The 20903-nt window shown below is 36.0% G+C and overlaps 1 protein-coding gene across 5 annotated transcripts in view; it reads right to left on the bottom strand.

Annotated features, from left to right (window-relative positions):
• Positions 1-20903, bottom strand: part of SPRED1 (sprouty related EVH1 domain containing 1) — a 104414-nt gene that overhangs the window by 52238 nt on the left and 31273 nt on the right. For all 5 annotated transcript variants that reach the window (XM_047432199.1, XM_047432200.1, XM_005254202.4 and 2 more), the window contains one exon: positions 5465-5639. In XM_047432199.1, coding sequence (XP_047288155.1) covers positions 5465-5608 — 144 coding nt within the window. In that variant the 5' untranslated portion in view covers positions 5609-5639. The remainder of the gene's footprint in view (positions 1-5464; positions 5640-20903) is intronic.

Below are 20903 nucleotides of genomic sequence, written 5' to 3'. Positions count from 1 at the left end.
TCAATGAAGTTCCTTTATTGTCAACTAAGGTTAAAAAAAACTTAGCAACATATTGTCTACTGAAATATGAATGAAAGGGTTGTTTGAGAGATTGACTGAAAAGATTTAGATTAAATTAAAAAAGAAAACAATAAAAAAATACTGAAGCCAGAAGGAATCTAGTTAAGGAAAAAATTGGAGGCACAATGTAATAGCGAAGACATGAAATTGAAGAGCAGTAGGAGGGGAATAAAAAAGAAATGACAGGAAATTATAAAATTCCTCAAATGGAACAGTTCTGGGTAACAACGAGATCCAGGAAAGTAGCCTGCTGAAATGAAGACCAGAAGGTCGAGACTGCAAAGAAAAGTAGCCAAGAATGATGATGAGGCTCAGATGTAGAAAATCTGGCTTTGGGAAGAAATTGCTAAGATGAGTAGATGAAAATGAAAGCTAATAGATGCTAATCTGAATGCTACACAGATTCAATAATGGGATTTATATATGTGGGTGATAGACTAATAACTTGTAAGGGGAATAAGGAACAATAACAATACTCCACTATCTCTACTCCCACTCCCATTCTTTTCCTAACTGTGGTATTACGGTGAATAGGGGAACTAGTATCTTTCAAGAAACAAAACTGCTAGGAAGGCTGAATCCTAAGGAAAAGTTAGTTAAGGCAATTGGTTTTTAGTGGAGGACCACTTCTGTAGGACTGAAGTTTCACAAAGGAATAATTCAGAGGCACAGTGGAAAAGCTTAGCAGGAAATTCTTGTTCTGTACTTCGATAAAGTTCAACCCAAGGCAGAAAGATGTTTCCCTGGTCTTTCAAGATTCCCCCATGATAGAAAGGGGTGAGTCTCATTTTTAATAAAGCTACTGCTATATTATAACCACATTATTTTCTTCCTAGAAAAGAAATATTCTAATTTCGTTTTAGGCTACAGTAACTGGAAAGAAACCTTATTTTTAAAACATGCTCTTTTTAAACAATAGAACCATTATCTTAAAGGCACTTCAACTTCTATAAACAATTTTATCGACAACCTAATTACTTATTAATCATAAAAACAATTCCTTAATCTCTTTGGCAACTTCTTAAACTGGAAATATTTCTAGTTTTTCCTTTCTCCATTTCCACATTATCTTTGTCACTCTAAGTTTATAATGGTAACTGTCTTATAACCTTGCTTTTTCTTGTCCCCACAGAGCATCTTCAGGAATTCAAGCATTTTAAAAGATTCCTATCTTTCTACTCAGCCTATTCTTTTGTCATACCTTAGCCCATAATATGGTTTAAAAAGCATAGCTTTAGCAAATTTTAATAATACTAGCAAATTTATAATATTTTATTATCTATTATATAAACTAAAGAAAAACTACTTTAGATCCCCATGATAACTAAAAACTGTGTTTAGTAGTAAACAGATATTTTAGCAAACTTTTGATACTAGTTAATTCAGAAACTTAAAAAATCTTAAGCTGTATTATAATTCGGTATTTTAAATTTACATGTCACATACCATGTATCAGATAAAGATGGTCAAATAACATAACCTATACAAATGGTAAACATTTTGATAAAATGTTTGTAAGACAGAAGTGTCCTACTTACAGAGAAGAACCATTATATCTAATGAAAACTAAATAGGCAATGTGGAACTCTATGATGTACACAAATGAACAGTTAAATTTTAGTTAACAATTTAAATTATATGTGCTCCAAGGTAATACTAACTTGTATTAAAGAATTAAAGGAAGAAATCAAGGCTATGAAGATTTAGAAGAAAACAGAGGCTATAGCTCACACACATCAAGTAAGACTTTCTTTTCTTTTTTTTTTTGAGACAGAGTCTCGCTCTGTTGCCCACATTGGAGGTGCAGTGGCACAATCTCAGCTCACTGCCACCTACGCCTCCCGGGTTCAAGCGATTCTCCTGCCTCAGCCTCCTGAGTAGCTGGGACTACAGGCACGTGCCACCACGCCTGGCTAATTATTTTTTGTTGTTGTTGTTTGTTTTGTATTTTTAGTAGAGATGAGGTTTCACTGTGTTAGCCACGATGGTCGCTATTTCCTGACCTTGTGATCCGCCTGCCTCGGCCTTCCAAAGTGCTGAGATTACAGGTATGAGCCACCACGCCCGGCCAAGACTTTCTCAGAATCTGTCCTTAACAACGATCATTCCATCCCCAAGTGTCTCAAAGAAAGGTAGTACTTTCATTTTCTTAGGCTACAACACCAACCCCTGGTGTTTCTTTCAAATTCTTTCTTTCTCAATCATCCATAAAGCATGAAAGCCAATTATGCAGAGCAGTGCTTTCCAACTCTTCTCTCCTCAGGCACATATAGAACAGTAACATAAGGCAACCAGTCTGGAGGCCCCAGACACTCATGGCACACAGGTTGGAAAGCTCCAATTTAGAGTATCAAAGGATAATCCAGGAAATAAACTCCACCTTTTGTAGGCATCATAAAGATGCTTTATAGGTAAGCAACATAGGATCACTGAATGAGTGAATGAGTAAACACTGACTCAGTTACACAAAATGATGTCTTCTTGAACAAGTCTCAGGCAGCCTGCTCTTCATTTGTGCCCCCTTTCTTAAAAAAATAAAATAAAGTAAAATAAAAAATAAAAAAATAAAAATAAAACAGTAAAGTATATAACTTTCTGGGAATCGTAACAAGACTTATTTTTAGTACCTGTAATTGTAAATCAAAGGTTGGAAAAGTCTTCTGTGAAAGTGGTTCTCTCATAACTGATAAGGGCCATCTTCTTCACTATTGTTATCAGTATTCTGACTTACAAACACTCATTAAAATATTGTATTTATTAGCCACACGAGTGGTCATATACTCCTCTTCTGAATATTTATTCTTTCTTCAAGGGCATGAATTCATGGGATATGAGGGGCAAGAATCTCACTTCTAGAATTCATCTAAGGTAGAGGATTCTAAGATGGGATCCACAGGCAAAATGGTTACAGAACAGTTTTCAGCAACTGTCTTTCACATAACTATTACATCAGAACTACTACTAAAGTGCACTGTTTATTCACCGAGAAGGCTTTTAAAGGAAAGCTACCATTAATCTGGGAGGAACCCTGTAGACTTACAGACTCAGTAAACATAATACTTCTTTAAAAAAAAAAATCAAGAAACTAGAACTCAGGAAAATGGGTTAAAATAAAACCAATGAATAACCAATGAATAAAATCAATGACTACAGAAATGAACATTAGTGATCTCAAAATGCAGTGATATTGTAAACTAATGTATGTATATGTCAATTCTACTGCTGGACTTTTCAGAAGTAGTCTTGATCACAGTGTATTACCCAGCAGAGGGTGCAAATTAATCTCATTTCAATATCACCGTCTCATTTGTCTTGAGATTTCACAAGACTTCGCTATTTTCAATTTACAGCCATGAGTTATCGCCTCTGCCTTTGATCACACAAGTCCCCATAACCTACCTAGAATGCTATACTATAGTTAATCCCTCTAAGAAATATGGCAAATTTCTGACTGAAAGCTCTCCTTTATGGCAATACTGAGAGATGTTTCTTATCCCCGTTTCACAAGTAACAAGCTTCCTCAAAGAAAAATGGCTACGTGAAACATCAGGTGTTCTGATTCCTGTTACTTCTAGCAAAATAATCTATTTTCTTATTAGTCTATCAATATTCTATACCCTAGGACTAGGGTAAGTGCTCTTGATTTTTAAGCTGTCATAGGGAATAAAAGTTTCTGTTCTTTCTGAATCTCAGGTTTATTTTTACTAGCTTTATTTATGTTAAAGCCACACTCTGAACAATCACCCAATCCATCAATCTGTGCAGACTCATAATTAGTTATGCAGATTTGGTCCCTTATTATCCTAAACTGTCCATCTCTACTATATCCAATATTCTGTTTCACTGAGTTTTTTCTATTTCACATCTAGATCATCCTTTCCTTGTTCTTATAATTTTTCGAGCAAGCATTTTTCTCTCTTAATCCACATTTTACTTTCTACTACCTTTGTATTCTTAGGAAAAAGTTTATCTAGAAAAAAATGCCTTAGATTTTCACCATTTTACTCGGTTTCTAAAATAGACAATTTCTCCAACAATATTCCCCAGTTACCATTAGCTCAGACCAGAAGCATTATACCATCATAGGCGCCTTCTTAGATGTCTCCAGGCTTAAAAAAGCATTAGTATATGGCAGATCCCATTTTATCCAAGGCCAGACCACCTTTAAAAATTTAAACTTTTTAAAGATGACATATTTATCATATTTCACTTTTGACTTCAATCGGGGTTCTCTACTTAAACATATTTTGGCTGAGACACATTATACAATGTGTAGCATGGGTGAATCATAAACTCATAAAACATTAGTGTAGGAAGGCTTTCGAGATGATTTAGGATAACTCTCCCTTTAAGTGGGGAAGAAATTGGGGCAGTGAAAGTTAAGCAACTTTCTGAATTACTACAATGATTCAGATGTAAAAAAAATATGAAGAAACCAAGCCCCCAAACTGAAAGTAAGTCATATTCAAACTGTTCATGCATGGAAGAATTATTTGGAGCTCAAAACATAAGAAATAACAAAGATGCTAAATAAACAGATCCACAAATATATATTTAAAGGGAATTCTCGTTATTTTCAAGGCTCTATTTTGGGACTTTATTTTTATTTTGCGTCTAAGTGTATGCTCTTCTTTTTCTTGATACAGAAATGACACTAACATTACTCAGCTTTTCGGATGTAATCAGTTGTTTTTGGCCCACAAATGAAACAAAGAAAGTGAAGGAGCTTTCCATACTAATTAAAAAAGAGCAAATAACATTATCAAAGGTTAAACTGAAATTTTAAAATGTATACAGGTAAGAAACCACACATCTGCATGGAAGACAATAGTGTTAAAAATTAGGCTGGCCACCAGATAGTCTTATGAGACTAGAAAATAAGGGAATTAATAAGGGAATCACCTTGGCTATGTTCGAATAAAACTTAATTTGTGGATACTGAAATGGGAATTTCATATAATTCTTATGTTACACAAAATTATTATTTTTAATTTTTTCCAACCATGTAAAACTATAAAAACCATTATTAGCTCACAGACAATATAAAAACAATTGGTGGGCTTGCATTTGGCCTGTGGATTAGTTTGCCAATCTCTGGTCTAGGGAATAGCTGAGAGAAGGGAAGGCAGGATGTTACCGGTTGAATAACTAGGGGGACTATTTATTAACTCCTGCATTAAGCGTAAATGGAAAAGCAGCAACCCCATCCCCCAACAAATGTGTATCAATGTCAGTCTCAGTTTGAAAAAAAAATGTTGTATTTCACTGCCTTTAACACAGAAACAGCTCCAGAAACATAATTACTGATTCACAGGTGAAAAAAACTCACAACAGTATACTAATCATAACTTTAAACAGATAATTCATTATCTAAAATTATAGTATTAGATACATTATTCATTACCATTTTGTCCCTGAGTCGCTCTCCACGGATAAAAAAGTCAGCACAGCCATTCTCTTCCTGATGAGGGACTTTGAAGACAGTGACGCTGCTTAGTCCACTCCCTCCAAGTGGTAACCATCCACCACTTGAGTCATCTCGGGTCATCACCACAGCTCGCACTCGTGCATAACTATTACTAAAATAGATGCAAAGATCAGGAATTAGCTTTTCCATAAACAAAAAACAGCCAAGCCATCAGTCTTGTTTGAGAAACCAAAGAACACATTAGTTAACATGTGGTGACTAAGGTGTTTACTACTTCCATGAAAATCTACAGAAAGTAGCCTACTTGAAAGAGGTCAAAAACCAAAAACAGACTTTAAGGTTGTCCTTTATTTTAAAGACTACTCTTGTAATAAAAGACTACAAAACTACTACCTCAATTCATCATTTCAGTAGTTCCAGCACATCTGATTGCCACGGAACAAGTTGTGAAGGATCCCAGAGGCAAATACTGTCAAACTACACAGGGTACCATAAAACTTGTCTATATATGTCCATTTGCTACAATATTATAACCAGGACAAACTGCTGTATTTCAGCACATTAAACTGCAGCATCTAGAAGTCCCTAACAGTTCCAGAATATTATAAATCAAATGCTGAAACAAACATGCTTAGTTTAGCTACATTTTTAATTTATTCTACCAACTGGGAATCTGAATCACTTACACAAATCATATAAAGAAAAGTGTTATGCTTAGATTACTTAACAAGCAAATTGGTCTGTAGAAACTGTAAGAAATAAATTTCTGTTATTAGCTAACCAGTTTATATTTTTCTATAGTAGTCCAAAGAGAATAAGACACATGTATAATCAACATGATAATCAAAATACAGGCCATTTTCATCACTTCAAAAATCCTTATGCCGAACACAGAGATTTTGCCTGTTTGGGGCCTTCAAATAAATGGAATCAAACAGAATTACCATTTGTACTCTTTTTGTCTGACTTCTTTCTCTCATGTTGTTTTGTGTACCAGAAGTTAATTTTTTTTAACTAAGTAGTCCTCTAATTGAATAAATCTATCATAATTTATTCTTTCTTACATGGACAGGCATTTGGATTTTTCTAGTTGTTGGCAATTATGAATAAAGCTGTTATAAACATTCTTGTACATGTCTTTTTTGTAGACATTTTTTCATTTCTCAAATAATTACCTAGGAGTGGAATTAACGGGTCACAGGATAGGTACATGTTTAACTATACAAGACATTATCTTCCAAAGTGGTTGTACTGTTACACATTCCCATCAATAATGTATGACAGTTTCAGATGCACCACATCCTTGCCAATACTTGGTGTTTTCAGTCTTAACTTTACTCATTGTATTGAGTATATAGTGGTATCCCACAGCGTTTTAAATTTCTATTTCCATAATGACTCATGATGTTGAGCATCTTTTCATGTGCTTTTTGGCCATTTGTTTATCTTGTTTTTAAGTCTGTGACCATTTTTTATTATATTGTCTTTATTATGATTTTTAGAAGTGTTTTTTAAAATATATTCTGGACATAAGTATTTTTTAGAGAATATACTTTTAAAGTTGCACTGGGTTGTGGTTAAGAGTGAGAATTCTAGAGTCAAATTTCCACAAGTTGGATCTTGGCTTAGAAACTTACTATCTGTATGGCTTTGAGAAAGTTACTAAACCTCTGTGCCTCAAACTTACGTGTGAAATAACAGCACTCACTTATAATAAATGTAAACCATGCCTGACACATAACAAGCACTATATGAGTATTACTTTTTATTATCATTATGACAACAAAGCATTGAAAACCGAAGACACTACCATCCTGGTAATTCAAAATCAGGATCTGGGAAATAATTGAATTTTCATGTTCAACCATAATTATCTATTATTGGGGTCAAAATAATTCTTTATATAGAAACTCTGAAAGGGTTTGGCTTCATAATTTACTCTTTTGTGGAAGCTTTTTATTATTTAGTTATTCAGAGGCTCTGATTCTTATCTGGACCCAATTCTTGCCAATCTTCAACTCAGAGAAACAGTCAGAGGAAGTGCGGGTGCATGAAGGTTGGGTTGATGTAGATATTAAATTCTCCTGAGATGGGCTGGAGCAAGCTCCACCACTATAAACACAATATGCATCTTAAGAGGCAGTGGGAGCAGACTACATAATAACCACATTTGTGGGCTAGCTTCTATTCTAAAGCAAATTAAGAGAATCTTGTAAGATGTTCCTTCTTTATTAAAAACCTAAACTGTAACTCAATTTCTAATCTCTGATCATATTTGAATAGTAATTTCAAATATATCCTTTCATACACAGCAGGAGAACTAAACTACTGTCTCTGTACATTTTGTGCTGCTTTAACAGAATACCAGACTGGGTAGATGATAAAGAGAAATTTATTTCTCACAGTTCTAGAGGCTTGAAAGTCCAGAGGCTGGGAAAACCAAGATCAAGGCACCAGTAGGTTCATTGTCTGGAAAGAGGCCAATCTCCACTTCCAAGGTGGTGCACCTTGAATGCTGTGACCTCTGGAGGGGAGGAATGCTGTGTCCTTACATGGCAGAAGGTGGACAGCCAAAAAGCGATGGGCACCCTCAGTTCTTTTATTAGGATACGAATCCATTCATGAAGGTAGAACTCTTACTTTCATGATGGTAGGTGCTAAACACCTCCCAAAAGGCCGCACCTCCTAACACTGTTGCACTGGAGTTTAAATTTCAACATAAATTTGTGGGGGCAAAAACATTAAATCCACAGCAACTACTAATGTAGAAATCCAGGTGAGAGGTAATACTGAATTGAACTAGGACGATAACAATGGACACGAAGATGAATAGAGAGATTTGGTTATATTTTGGAGGTAGAGCCAAGAGGAAACTTGCTGATGAGATTATAACTACAAAACAAGTAAAGTGTTCCAAATCATCTAAAATTCTTAGTAGAATCCATGAGCTTCATTTCCTAAAATTTTCAGCTAGTATTTCAATAAAGTCAAAGGCAAAAGAAGATGACCAAACACACGAAGACAAATTTTGTCTCAGTTGTATTGGACCATGTAGTTTTGTTTGAAATGACAGTACTATATTACACATGAACCAGAATAACTCTAAAGCTATACTTTATTGCACTTTGTGGATAAATGTATGGCAGCAATTTCAAATTTACATATTGGCAAAATTTGTAATTTGATTAACAATCAAATTAATAGTTGCAGAAATTTTTACAAGCCCTAGTAGTTTTAACTGTCTGAAACGCAAAGTGTCCTTCACCTAAAGTGACCTGCTTTTTTAGTTTCTTTTCTCCCTTACAGAACTATCTTGCTTTGTGATTACCAAGCCTATTATATACCCCACCCAACTGCTAGACAAGTAGAAGGCTCAAGGAAGACATAGTCTGGAGATCTGAGATTTTATGTTTTCTCCTTGTTTTACGTGTCCATTATAAGGAAAAACCAGGCTTAAAACACTTAAAGTGTTTGATAGTCAAGCTCCTTAGAGAACATAAAGACTCTAACCATACACTGCACAGTTTTAATACTGATTCCCATTCTTCCCATTTCCTGGTCACAACCAAAAGTTCCCGACTCTTCCTTTTCTCTCCACCAAGAAGGCAGATAGTGACCATAATATTGTACTATAGATGCATACATGCTAATGCATGTATGAAACTTGTGATTTTTTTAGCTCATTGGCTGACACATGTATGAGTCTAGAGTACAGTATTATGCAAGTTTTTGTAATATTTATAAGCTTATAATACTTACATTAACCAGATGTTCAATTATGAGGTAAAATAATTGTGCATGATGTTCATAAATTAAAATTCTATCTATCCCCTATCCCTCTTACTGTTATTAGTTAATATGTTAAACATAATATGTATTCAACTTAATAACAGGAAAACAAAATTAACAAGCATTGTAGCACAATATTGACTCCTATGGAATTCTCATTAATTTTACATCGGTTTCATTTTCTAAATACAATCCTGTGTTGCATAATAACGTTTCCGTCAACAACAGACTCCACGTACAACAGTCCCATAAGATTACAATACCGTATCTTTATTGTACCTTTCTGACGTTTAGATACACAAATACTTACCATTGTGCTAAAACTGGCTACACTTTTCAGTACAACAACATGCTGTACAGCAAGCCTGTCCAACCTGTGGCCCAGGATGGCTTTGAATGCGGCCCAACACAAATTCATAAATTTCTTAAAACATTATGAAATTTTTGTGTGATTTTTTTTAAAGTTTATCAGCTATCGTGTTAGTGTATTTTCCCATCTAGGTTTGTGTAGGTACACTCTATGATGTTTGTGTGCACAATGATGAAATAACCCAACAATGTATTTCTCAGAGCAAATACGTATTGCAAAACACGTGACTGCTTTACTTAGCATACTTTTATTCTCTTGAAAGTAAAATAATTTCACGATTTACTTGACAGAAGATGCTGTAACTCCACTCAACTGGCACTCAAATATCTAATGTGCAAGGAAATGTTACCTCGATGAATCCAAAATTCATAGAGCCAATAAATCTGTAGCAAAGCAACTTTACCCTTTACACCAAAGATTAATTTTGTGAACCTCCTGGAAAGGATTATGAATCCCCAAAATTGTAATCAAATGTGAGTTTTTTTGCCACATATATATTTTCTTCAGGGGAGATAGTACATAGCTTTAATCACAATAGCATCTATGATTACCCTGGCCCACCAATTTAGGAACCACTGCTATACAAACAAAATGACTAGCAGTACAGCTCTGGCTCTTGCTCAGATCAGTTTCCTAAATTTGGATACATTTCTAACAGCCTGCTGGCCATTTATATTGTTTTGGTCGACTGTTCTTAAGCTTAACTTTTCTAAAATAAATTATCTGTCTTTCTCTTCTCTCTATACCTTTCTTTTCTATTATAATACATACCCAAGAAATACCTTGATATTAGCCCAGTGAGACCTATTTGTATTTCTGACCTCCAGGCTAAAATATAATAAATTTCTGTTGTTTTAAGTCACTAAGTTTATGGTAATTTGCCTACATCAGCAACAGGAAACTACTACAAAGGAGGAAACACGTTCTCGAAGATACAGTAATATATATACAGGAGAAAAAGATAACTTTTTCCATTTTTAATTACAATAGTATTAAAACAAAATCCTGACCTCCGCCCCACCAACCACCAAATTGAGGAAGTTCTTACAATGCCTTAAGATTTGTACAGTATAACAGGAACTTATTTATCCATTGAGGCATATTTATAGTGACAGAACACCCTTTGCTCTCTATATATTTTAAGTAAATATTAACCATCCAAATATTAAACATTATTACAGAGACTAGGTAGAAGAGAAAAGGGAAGCATTTAATAGAAGTAGGTTGGGATGATGTAGTACTTCACAGTGTAAGTACGTGCTTTCTAAACTATGTAGAATGCAGACATTCAGAAGATAACCACATTACTACTCAATAATCTATTCACTTAACCCATGAGATTCATATACTACATAAACAAAATTGAAAAGTTATGATCCTCTCCCTGTAGAAGCTCATAATCTAGTGGGCAAAGATACATTACCACATAATGGGAATATAGGAGATTACTAGTATTCATATTTGATGTAGGTTTTTAATAGCAGTATATCAGGTAGATAAAAGGCTAAGGACACTCAATAGAGAGAGCATGACACAAGTATATCATATTTAAGAACCAATACGAAGTTCAAAAGATGACAGTAGACATAAGCGATAGAGAGAAAGAAAGAAAATAGTAGTTGACTTACTGTATTAAGCCATGCATACTATGCTCAAGGTTAGTACTCTATTTTATCACGATAAAGAGACCACAGGATGATAATAAGCAAGAAAGCAGAATGTTCTGATTTGTATTTTAAAAGCTCTAAGAGCAGTAGGAGACCACTACTGCATTAACCCTAATGAAGGAGATATTTCTTCATCTTACAGAGAAGAGCTGAGTTTGATTAGAAAGACGAAGATCTGTATTACTCCTTTAGCACTGGCAACTCTAAAAACTAGAGCAAATATTAAACATGGCACTGTTTAATAACAAGTCAGATCTAGGTTCCAAAGGCAGTGTCACCTCTTAAAAGTTGTAATCTTGGAGCCGGGTGTGGTGGCTCACTCCTGCAATCCCAGCACTTTGGGAGGCCGAGGCAGGTGGATCACGAGGTCAAGAGATCGAAACCATCCTAGCAAAGATGGTGAAACCTTGTCTCTACTAAAGATACAAAAATTAGATGGGCGTAGTGGCGTGTGCCTGTAGTCCCAACTACTCAGGAGGCTGAGGCAGGAAAATTACTTGAGCCTGGGAGGCAAAGGTTGCAGTGAGACGAGATCACACCACTGCACTCCAGCTTGGTGAGAGAGCGAGACTCCGTCTCAAAAAAAAAAAAAAAAAAAGTTGTAATCTTGGGTAAATTACTTAAGCTCTCTATATCCCTATTCCTGGTCTATAAAATGGAAATAATAATATTTATCACAGTGCTATAAGAAATAAATGAGGTTATGCATGTAGATTTCTTAGCATTTTGCCTGGCTCATTGTTATGTGCCCAATAAATGTTATTACAATGACTTAATATATTAAATCAACTTTATGTTACTACAACCGCATTATCAAATTGTCTAAATTTGTCTCATTATTTATGATGATCTTGTATAAAAAACCAAGGTGACAGCTCCCTCTCAGAACTTTTAACGCTAAGAATTATTAATCATAGCTAAGTATGTGATATGGTTTGGCTGTGTCCCCCATCCAAATCTGAACTTGAATTGTATCTCCCAGAATTCCCATGTGTTGTGGGAGGGACCCAAGGGGTCTTAATTGAATCATGGGGGCCGGTCTTTCCTGTGCTATTCTCATGATAGTGAATAAGTCTCATGAGATCTGATGGGTTTATCAGGGACTTCTGCTTTTGCTTCTTCATTTTTCTCTTGTTGCCATCATATAAATGCCTTTCGCCTCCCACCATGATTCTGAGGCCTCCCCAGCCCTGTGGAATTGTTAAGTCCAATTAAACCTCTTTTTCTTCCCAGTCTCGAGTATGTCTTTATCAGCAGTGTGAAAACGGACCAATACAGTAAATTGGTACCAGTAGAGTGGGGTATTGCTGAAAAGATACCCAAAAATGTGGAAGTGACTTTGGAACTGGGTAACAGGCAGAGTTTGGAACAATTTGGAAGACTCAGAAGACAGGAAAATGTGGGAGAATGGCTTTGACAAAAATGCTGATAGTGAAATGAACAATAAGGTCCAGGATGAGGTGGTCTCAGATGGAGATGAGGAACTTGTTGGGAACTGGAGCAAAGCTGAATCTTGTTATGTTTTAGCAAAGAAACTGGTGGCATTTTGCCTCTGCCCTAGAGATTTGTGGAACTTTGAGCTTGAAAGAGATGATTTAGGGTATCTGGGGGAAGAAATTTCTAAGCAGCAAAGCATTCAAAAGGTGACTTGGGTGTTGTTTTATGCTGTTTTCAAAGGGAAACAGTATTAAAGTTCAGAAAATTTGCAGCCTGACAATGCAGTGGAAAAGGAAAAACTATTTTGTGAGGAGAAATTCCAGCCAGCTGCAGAAATTTGCTTAAGTAGAAAGGAGCCTAATGTTAATCCCCAAGACCATGGAGAAAACATCTCCAGGCCACGTCAAAGACCTTCAGAGCAGCCCCTCCCATCACAGGCCCAGAGGCCCAGGAGGAAAAACTGGTCTCACAGGATGGACCCACTGTCCCTGTGCTGTGTGTAGCCTAAGGACTTCATGTCCTGTGTACCAGCCACTCCAGCCATGGCTGAAAGGGGCCAACATAGAGCTCAAGCTGTTGCTTCAGAGGGTGGAAGTCCCAAGCCTTGGCAGCTTCTACATGGTGTTGAACCTGTGGGTGCACAGAAGTCAAGAATTGAAGTTTGGGAAATTCTGCCTACATTTCAGAAGATATATGGAAACACCTGGATGCCCAGGCAAAAGTGCTTCAGGGGCAGGGCCCTCATGGAGAACCTCTGCTAGGGCAGTGTGGAAGGGAAATGTGGGGTCAGAGCCCCGACACAGAGTCCCTACTGGGGCACTGCCTAGTGAAGCTTTGAGAAGAGGGCCACCATTTACCAGACCCCAGAATGGTAGATTCACTGACAGCTTCCACCATGTGTCTGGAAAAGCCACAGACACTCAACATCAGCCTGTGAAAGCAGCCAGGAGGAGGCTGTACCCTACAAAACCACATGGGCAGAGATGCCCAAGACCATGGGAACCTACCTCTTGCATCAGCAAGACCTGGATGTGAGACATGGGGTCAAAGGAGATCATTTTGGAGCTTTAAAATTTGACTGCCCCACTGGATTTAAGACTTGCATGGGCCCTGTATCCCCTTTATTTTGGACAATTTATTCCACTTGGAATGGCTGTATTTACCCAATACCTGTATCTCCATTGTATCTAGGAAGTAACTAGCTTGCTTTTGATTTTACAGGCTCACAAGCAGAGGGACTTGCCTTGTCTCGAATGAGACTTTGGACTCTGGACTTTTGGGTTAATGGTAAAACGCGTTAAGACTCTGGGGGACTGTTGGGAAGGCATGATTGGTTTTGAAAAGTGAGGACATGAGAACTGCAGGGGCCAAGGGCAGAATGATATGGGGTAGCTGTGTCCCCACCCAAATCTCAACTTAAATTGTATCTCTCAGAATTCCCACATGTTGTAGGAGGGACCCAGGGGGAGGTAATGGAATCATTAGGGCTGGTCTTTCTCATACTATTCTTGTGATAGGGAATAAGTCTCAGGAGATCTGATGGGTTTATGAGGGGTTTCCACTTTTGCTTCTTCCTCATTTTTCTTTTGCTGCCACCATGTAAGAAATGCCTTTCGCCTCCCGCCATGACTCTGAGGCCTCTCCAGCCATGCGGAACTATAAGTCCAATTAAACCTCTTTTTGTTCCCAGTCTTGGGTATGTCTTTATCAGCAGCATGAAAACAAACTAACACAGTATCAAATATCAGTCATCTAAGTCTTCCACAAACTGTTTATATAATGCAGACATCTGGGAATTCTTCCAGAAGAAGAAATAAAATTAAAATATGAGAGATGAATAGAGGTTTTCACAAACTACACCTTTAGAATCAATCATTTTAGGTTCTGCTAGACAGTATCATCAACCTATGAAAACAGTTCAAACTATAACTACTTCGAATGTCCCCTGCCTTCTGGTACTACTAGTGTCCATTCCCCATGACTCCTTAATTACTAGCATTGATACTATGATTTCATTCTGAAATTCTCTTGGTCTACGTCAGAAGAAGAGAACTATAAAAAGTATTCATTCTCAACAAAAGATCAAAACATAGAAGACAGGCAGTCAACATTAATATGAGAGTTCATGATGAGATAAAAGCATTAGAGTAAAATATGAAAAACTTTAAAATCATCCTATAGTTGGGAAAGCCTAAGATCCAGAGGCCATTAAAATATAAAAGGATAAATTCAACTATATTAAACACATTCCTGCATGGTAAAAACACCATGAACAATAAAGACAAAGATAACAAATTGGGAAAAAAATATGTAACACACATGTATTAGCTTTTTATTGCTGTCCTAACAACTACCACAAACTTAGCGGCTTACAACAACACAAATTTATACACTTCTGTGAGTTGGAAGTCCAAAGAGTTTCACACTGGGCTAAAATCAAGGTACTGGCAGTGCTGCGTTCCTTTCAAGAAGCTCTAAAAGAGAAAACAGTTTTCCCTTGCCTTTTCCAGTTCCTAGAGCCCATCCACATTCCTTGGCTCATGGCTCCCTCCTTCTACCCTCAAAGTCATGAATATTGCTTCTCTCTGAACCTTCTTCTGTAGTTATATCTTTCTCTGACTACAGTCCTATACAGTCAGGAAAGGTTATCCACTGAAGTGCTCATGTGATTAGCCCAGGTTCATCCAGATAATCCAGGATAATCTCCCTATATCAAAGCTCACAAACTTAATCACAGTTGCAAAATCCTAACATACTCACAGGTTCTGGAGATTAGGGCAAGGCCATCTTTGGGGAGGGGCAGGACATATTCTGTCTACCACAAATGGCATATAACAGGAAAAAAAAAAAAGGTACTTCCTTAAAAGTAACTCCAAAAATCAGTAAGAAAAGACAAACACCACAAAGGAAAAACAGGCTAAGTTCATGAATAAAATCCACAGAAGAAAAACATAAATGCCATGAAATACAGAAAAAGTAATTTTATTCAGAATAAGAGGAATGCAAATTAAAGAGATTACCTTTTTTTTTTCCATTTCAAAGCACTGATTGCAGTTTTTCTTAAACGTGGAATACAAAACTTGTAAAACCCCAACAAATTCATTTAATAATGACCACACTAATAATCAGGAATCATGGCAAAACTTGTTTTAGCGAAAAATTCCATTGGTTTAGAGGTAACTAAAAACACAGATTCCCAAGTCTACTCCCTGATTCCTAAGGTTTAAGGCACAGGAAACCTGTAGTTTAAATTCCGAAGGAAGTTATGATGTTGTATTTGGAATATTGGTAAACTAGAAAACTAATCTTAATTTTGAATAAACTAACTGAAAATTTGTTGCTGTAAAATTCTATCCAGAATAATTTATCTCATATCACTGCAGATAATGTAGCCTAACCAAACAGTTACTCTAGTTTAGGGCTTTGAATAATCCTAAATATTGAGTACTAAAGAAAAGCAATAAAAAAAAGACACAATATTCAAAGCAAAAAAATACTGAGTTAGCATAGCCTGGCAATATGAAATCTTATAATGGCTATAACTTAGAAGGCTATACCTCTCTGACCACCTCTCTTACTGCTTACTCACTATATTGCAATGATAGTATTTTTGTACTCCTTAAGTATAATAGTTCTCTTCTACCGTGGGGCTCTAGACGCTGTTTCCTTTAGTTGGGTATTCCCCTGAGATATTCTATCGGTTGCTCCTTTCTAAGCCATCAGCTAACAAGAATCCTCCTCGGAGTAGCACCAGCATCCATCCACCTTCTCTCCACTATTTCTTTTTCTGGTTTTATCTTCCTCATAATGCCTATGACTATCTGAAATTATTTATTTATTTATTGTCTGTCCTCCATTAATAGGATTTACGCTCCATGAGTAGGAACCTTGTTTTCCTTGCTCACTACAAACTCCGAACCTTCCTCTCAATTTATTAACATGTCATATTCATGAACCTCTATGAAGACAATAACATATGTTATGAAAGTTTAGTTGTAAACAAGCCTGAAGTAGAAAATTTCCAGTACCTTCCTCTACCTTCCTCTTCTGAGCTCCCGTCTTCCACCAATATTCATTTATCCCTGACCCTTGTGATCAGGTAATTTTGACTGAAGGTAGGTAAACATGACTCCAGAAGCAACTCTTAATGATAGAGAGGTGAAAACAGGTATATTGTTACAATCCAAGCAAAAACTGTAAGATACAGAACTTTTCTCAGTTGTGTATCATTCAGAGAAGACCACCTCATATCTCAGAGTGATTCATGATTCAAGTCTTTCCAGGAACCAGGAGTACTCTGGATCCTAAGAGATCAGAAGGATAAGCAAGGGGAAATCAAAAAACAAGAAAAAATAAAGGAAGGAGAAGAAAGGTTTTCCTGATAGTAGGCTACAGTTGTTCCTCGGTATCTGTGTGAAATTGGTTCCAGGACCTCGCTTGAGTATCAAAATCCTTGACGCTCAAGTCCCTGATATAAAATGGCAAAATACTTGCATACAGCCTATGGACATCCTCCTGTATACTTTAAATCATCTGTAAACAGTGGTATGCTGTATTGTTGAGGGAATAATAAGATTTTGAAGTGTGTACATGTTCAGTAAAGATGCAATTTTTTTCAAATATTTTCAATCTGTAGCTGGCTCAATTCACAGATGTGAAACACATACATATGAATGCAAAGGCCACCAGACAAGAAAGAGCATTAGAGAAAATGATAGTCTACAAGATTCAGATGGACATTTTTTTAAGTGGGGAGGGAGCAGTAATGGGATATATGGACCAGCTCATACAGGGCCATATTAAGGATTTTGTTCTTTATTTTAAGAAAAAACACATTTTGATCAAAGAAACAATGAAAGAGATGTATGTTTAAAGAAAAATCACAGTTTTGCAGATTGAATGAAAAGATAGTGGGGGAAAGGGAGTCAGCAATAGATGAAGGTGGCATGCTAGAAATCCAGGTGAGAAATACAGACTAGAATAATGAGATAACTAGACAAATAAATGAGAAAACTACATAGACAGAAGATGTCTTCTGGAGGTAAAACTGTGCTAGCCAATGTGCTTCTAAAACTCTGACCTCTGTTGCATTTTTCTGTTTTTTCAATTGTTTCTAGTCTCTAGAATAAAGGCCTTATTACACATTTTAAATAAAGAATTAAGGAGGTAATGCAATTCAACTTAACATGGTAACAGCTGCATTATTACATAAGACATGTGTGATGGGAAACAAATACAAAAAAGATTCTATACCTTCCCTCAAGAAGTTCACCATCTAAATAGGATTGTAGATATAATACAAGTAGCAATATAATAATGTGCAGTATGAATAAAAATACATAAAAAGAGAAAAGAGGAGCAAAATCTCAAACATAAATTTGATAAAGTGGGACAACATTATTTTTACAAAGTCTGCACTCCATGATTCAAATACTGGAAAGGGGACTAAACTGGCAATCAAAAGACACTGCTTCAGAAAAACTTCACTTACTTGGATGATGGTTTAAAAGAAATGAAAAATTCAACATTTATTCTTAAAAATATTCATGGTAAAGCAGTATGAGATACTTCATCAATACTGTAAAGGCTCAATTAATAATATGTAATGTACAACAATAAAAATGTATTTCAATAATTGGTACCATGCCTAAAAATGAAATATCTGGGCATTCTATTAAAGTCAGAAATAGGACATTACCACAGACTTAAAAAAAAAAAGCCATAAGTAATGATTAGAGGAGATGGTGAAAAAGATAAATATAAATCTTCATTTAAAAATTATTCTTGTTTGCAGATTATGTGACTGCTTACTTAGAAGATACAAGCAGATTTCCCATTAGAAAAACAAAAGAATGCAATATAGTGGTTAGATAGAGGAAATTTTAAAAACTGTCCTATTTACCAATGATTTAGAAATTGTCACACATACAAAAAGAGCCAATTCACAATAAAAATAATATAAAATTGATAGGATAATGATGTACAGAGCTAATCTGAAGCAATCTGCAAAACTTTTTTTTTTTTTTTTTTTTTTGAGGCTGGAGTGCGGTTGGCATGATCATAGCTCACTACAGCTTCAAACTCCTGAGCTCAAGTGATTCTCCCCATTTCAGCTTTTCAGCTCAGTAGGCGTGACCATAGGCACCTGCCACCATACCTGGCTAAATTTTTTCACTTTCTGTAGAGACAGGGCCTCACTATGTTTCCCAGACTAGCCTTGAACTCCTGGCCTCAAGCAAACCTCCCTCCTTGGCCTCCCAAAGTGCTGGGATTATAGGCATGAGCCTCCACACCTGCCTGATCTGAAAACATTAATAAGGGTATAAAGGGCATGAATGAGTAAGAAGATATTGTATGTTTTCTGGAAGCAAAGCTTAGTATTTCAAGGATGACAATTCTAACGTGTCTGTTCGTTTATTGGAAATTGAGTTTAAAATACCGATGGGCTATTCTGGGGAAAAGGTAACTTGAAAAACATGAGCTTTAAGTATACATTAAAGCCAGGAACATTTGAGTGATCTTTTAAACATGAATCAGGTCATGTGAGTCTTGCTCAGAAACCTCCAAGAGCCACATATTTCACGCACGGAAAGAGTCCAAACTCTAAAGACCCTACAAAAATTGGCTCTTGTAATCTGTGTGACTTCATCTCCAGCCATTCTCCCTCCCATTCCCTGTTCCAGCCAAACTGTTCTTTCTCCTTCTCAAACATGCCAAGCATACACCTGCTTCAGGACATTTACTCTTATTGTGCTCACCACCTAAACCCCTTCCCAGATATTCTGTATGCCAGATTCCATCACAAAAGACTCGCTGCTTTACTGAAATATCACTTTCTCAATGGGGTGCTCCTACTGCCATCATCTCCACTCTATTTGCCATCCATACCATGTAGTCTGTGCTACCACAGCACTATAATTTAATTACTATAATTTCATTGTTATCTTCTGTGATCTCTCTCACACCTACATAAAAACTCAAAGATCTTTGTTTTGTTCTTGAATACATCCTTAAACTAGAAGAGTGCTTGGCACAAAATACGCACTGAAAATATCTGCTGAATAAATAAACATTTTAATTTGGAGGTGGTGCTTTTCCTAGTAGTTATTCAAGTGTAATGTAAAAATACATTACTTGAATGGAGGGAGAGGGAGCAGGAGGGGGCAGTCAGGCAGCAGGAGGAGCTGGGAGCAAAAAAATATATTTAAAAAAAATAGATCTAGTATTTAAAATGGTGTGGTACAGGTGAAACAGAGGAAGGCTTCTCAATGTGTGGCTCATAAAACACATGCATCTTAATAACCAAATGTGTTTATTATAAAACTGATTCCTAGATCCCACCAAAACTTTGAATCAAAATTTCTGGAGGCAAGGCCCACAAATAGGTTTAAAAAAAAAAAAAAATCCCAGATGAAGTAACCCCTTATGCACAGTTTAAAAACCACAGGAGTGGAGCCCAGAAAGCATCCAAATGCATACAAACATTTAGTAGGTGATAACAACAAGGAACATCAAATCTGTAGAAAACAGAAGGTTTACTCAAGGAATAGTGAAGTAAAAGTCTATCCATCGGAAAAAAAAATTAAAACTTGAATCTCTACATTACACTAAAATTAAGACTGTAATTATTAAAAGAAATATGTTTATAGTTGTGTGGTAATACCACTTAAAACTTCCACTAAAGTCAGAAATTATAACAGAAGACTGCTATATTCAACTGCATAAAAATGTAAAATCTCTGTATTGCTAAAAACACCAAGATATTAGAAGACAAATGACAAACTAGGAAAAAACATGTTATCATATATGGCAAAGATTAGTATCATAATATAAAATTACATCTTATACAGCAATCTGGCAAGTTAAAAATATTATACCTTTAGACCCAGAAATGTAACATCTAAATATTTATTCTAAAGAAACTGAGACATGCACTCATGAGCGTATGAACAAAACTGTGTATCAACATTGTTTATTATGGTAAAATAAAAACCTTTGAAACTGCCTAAGGACCCACCACTAAGAAACTGACTAAAAGTAAATTTTCAGCCACTACTATGATGTGTATTTTCACAGGCTGATACAGTAAATAAAAAGACTTCCAAATAGTATAAAATAGTACAACTTCAGTTTTATAGAAATAAAAACATTT

The sequence above is a fragment of the Homo sapiens genome, chromosome 15 (assembly GCF_000001405.40).
Source record: "Homo sapiens chromosome 15, GRCh38.p14 Primary Assembly".
NCBI classification, from domain to species: domain Eukaryota; kingdom Metazoa; phylum Chordata; class Mammalia; order Primates; family Hominidae; genus Homo; species Homo sapiens.
The sequence above is the reverse complement of the archived record's forward strand: the minus strand, read 5'-3'. Positions and strand labels throughout refer to the sequence as shown.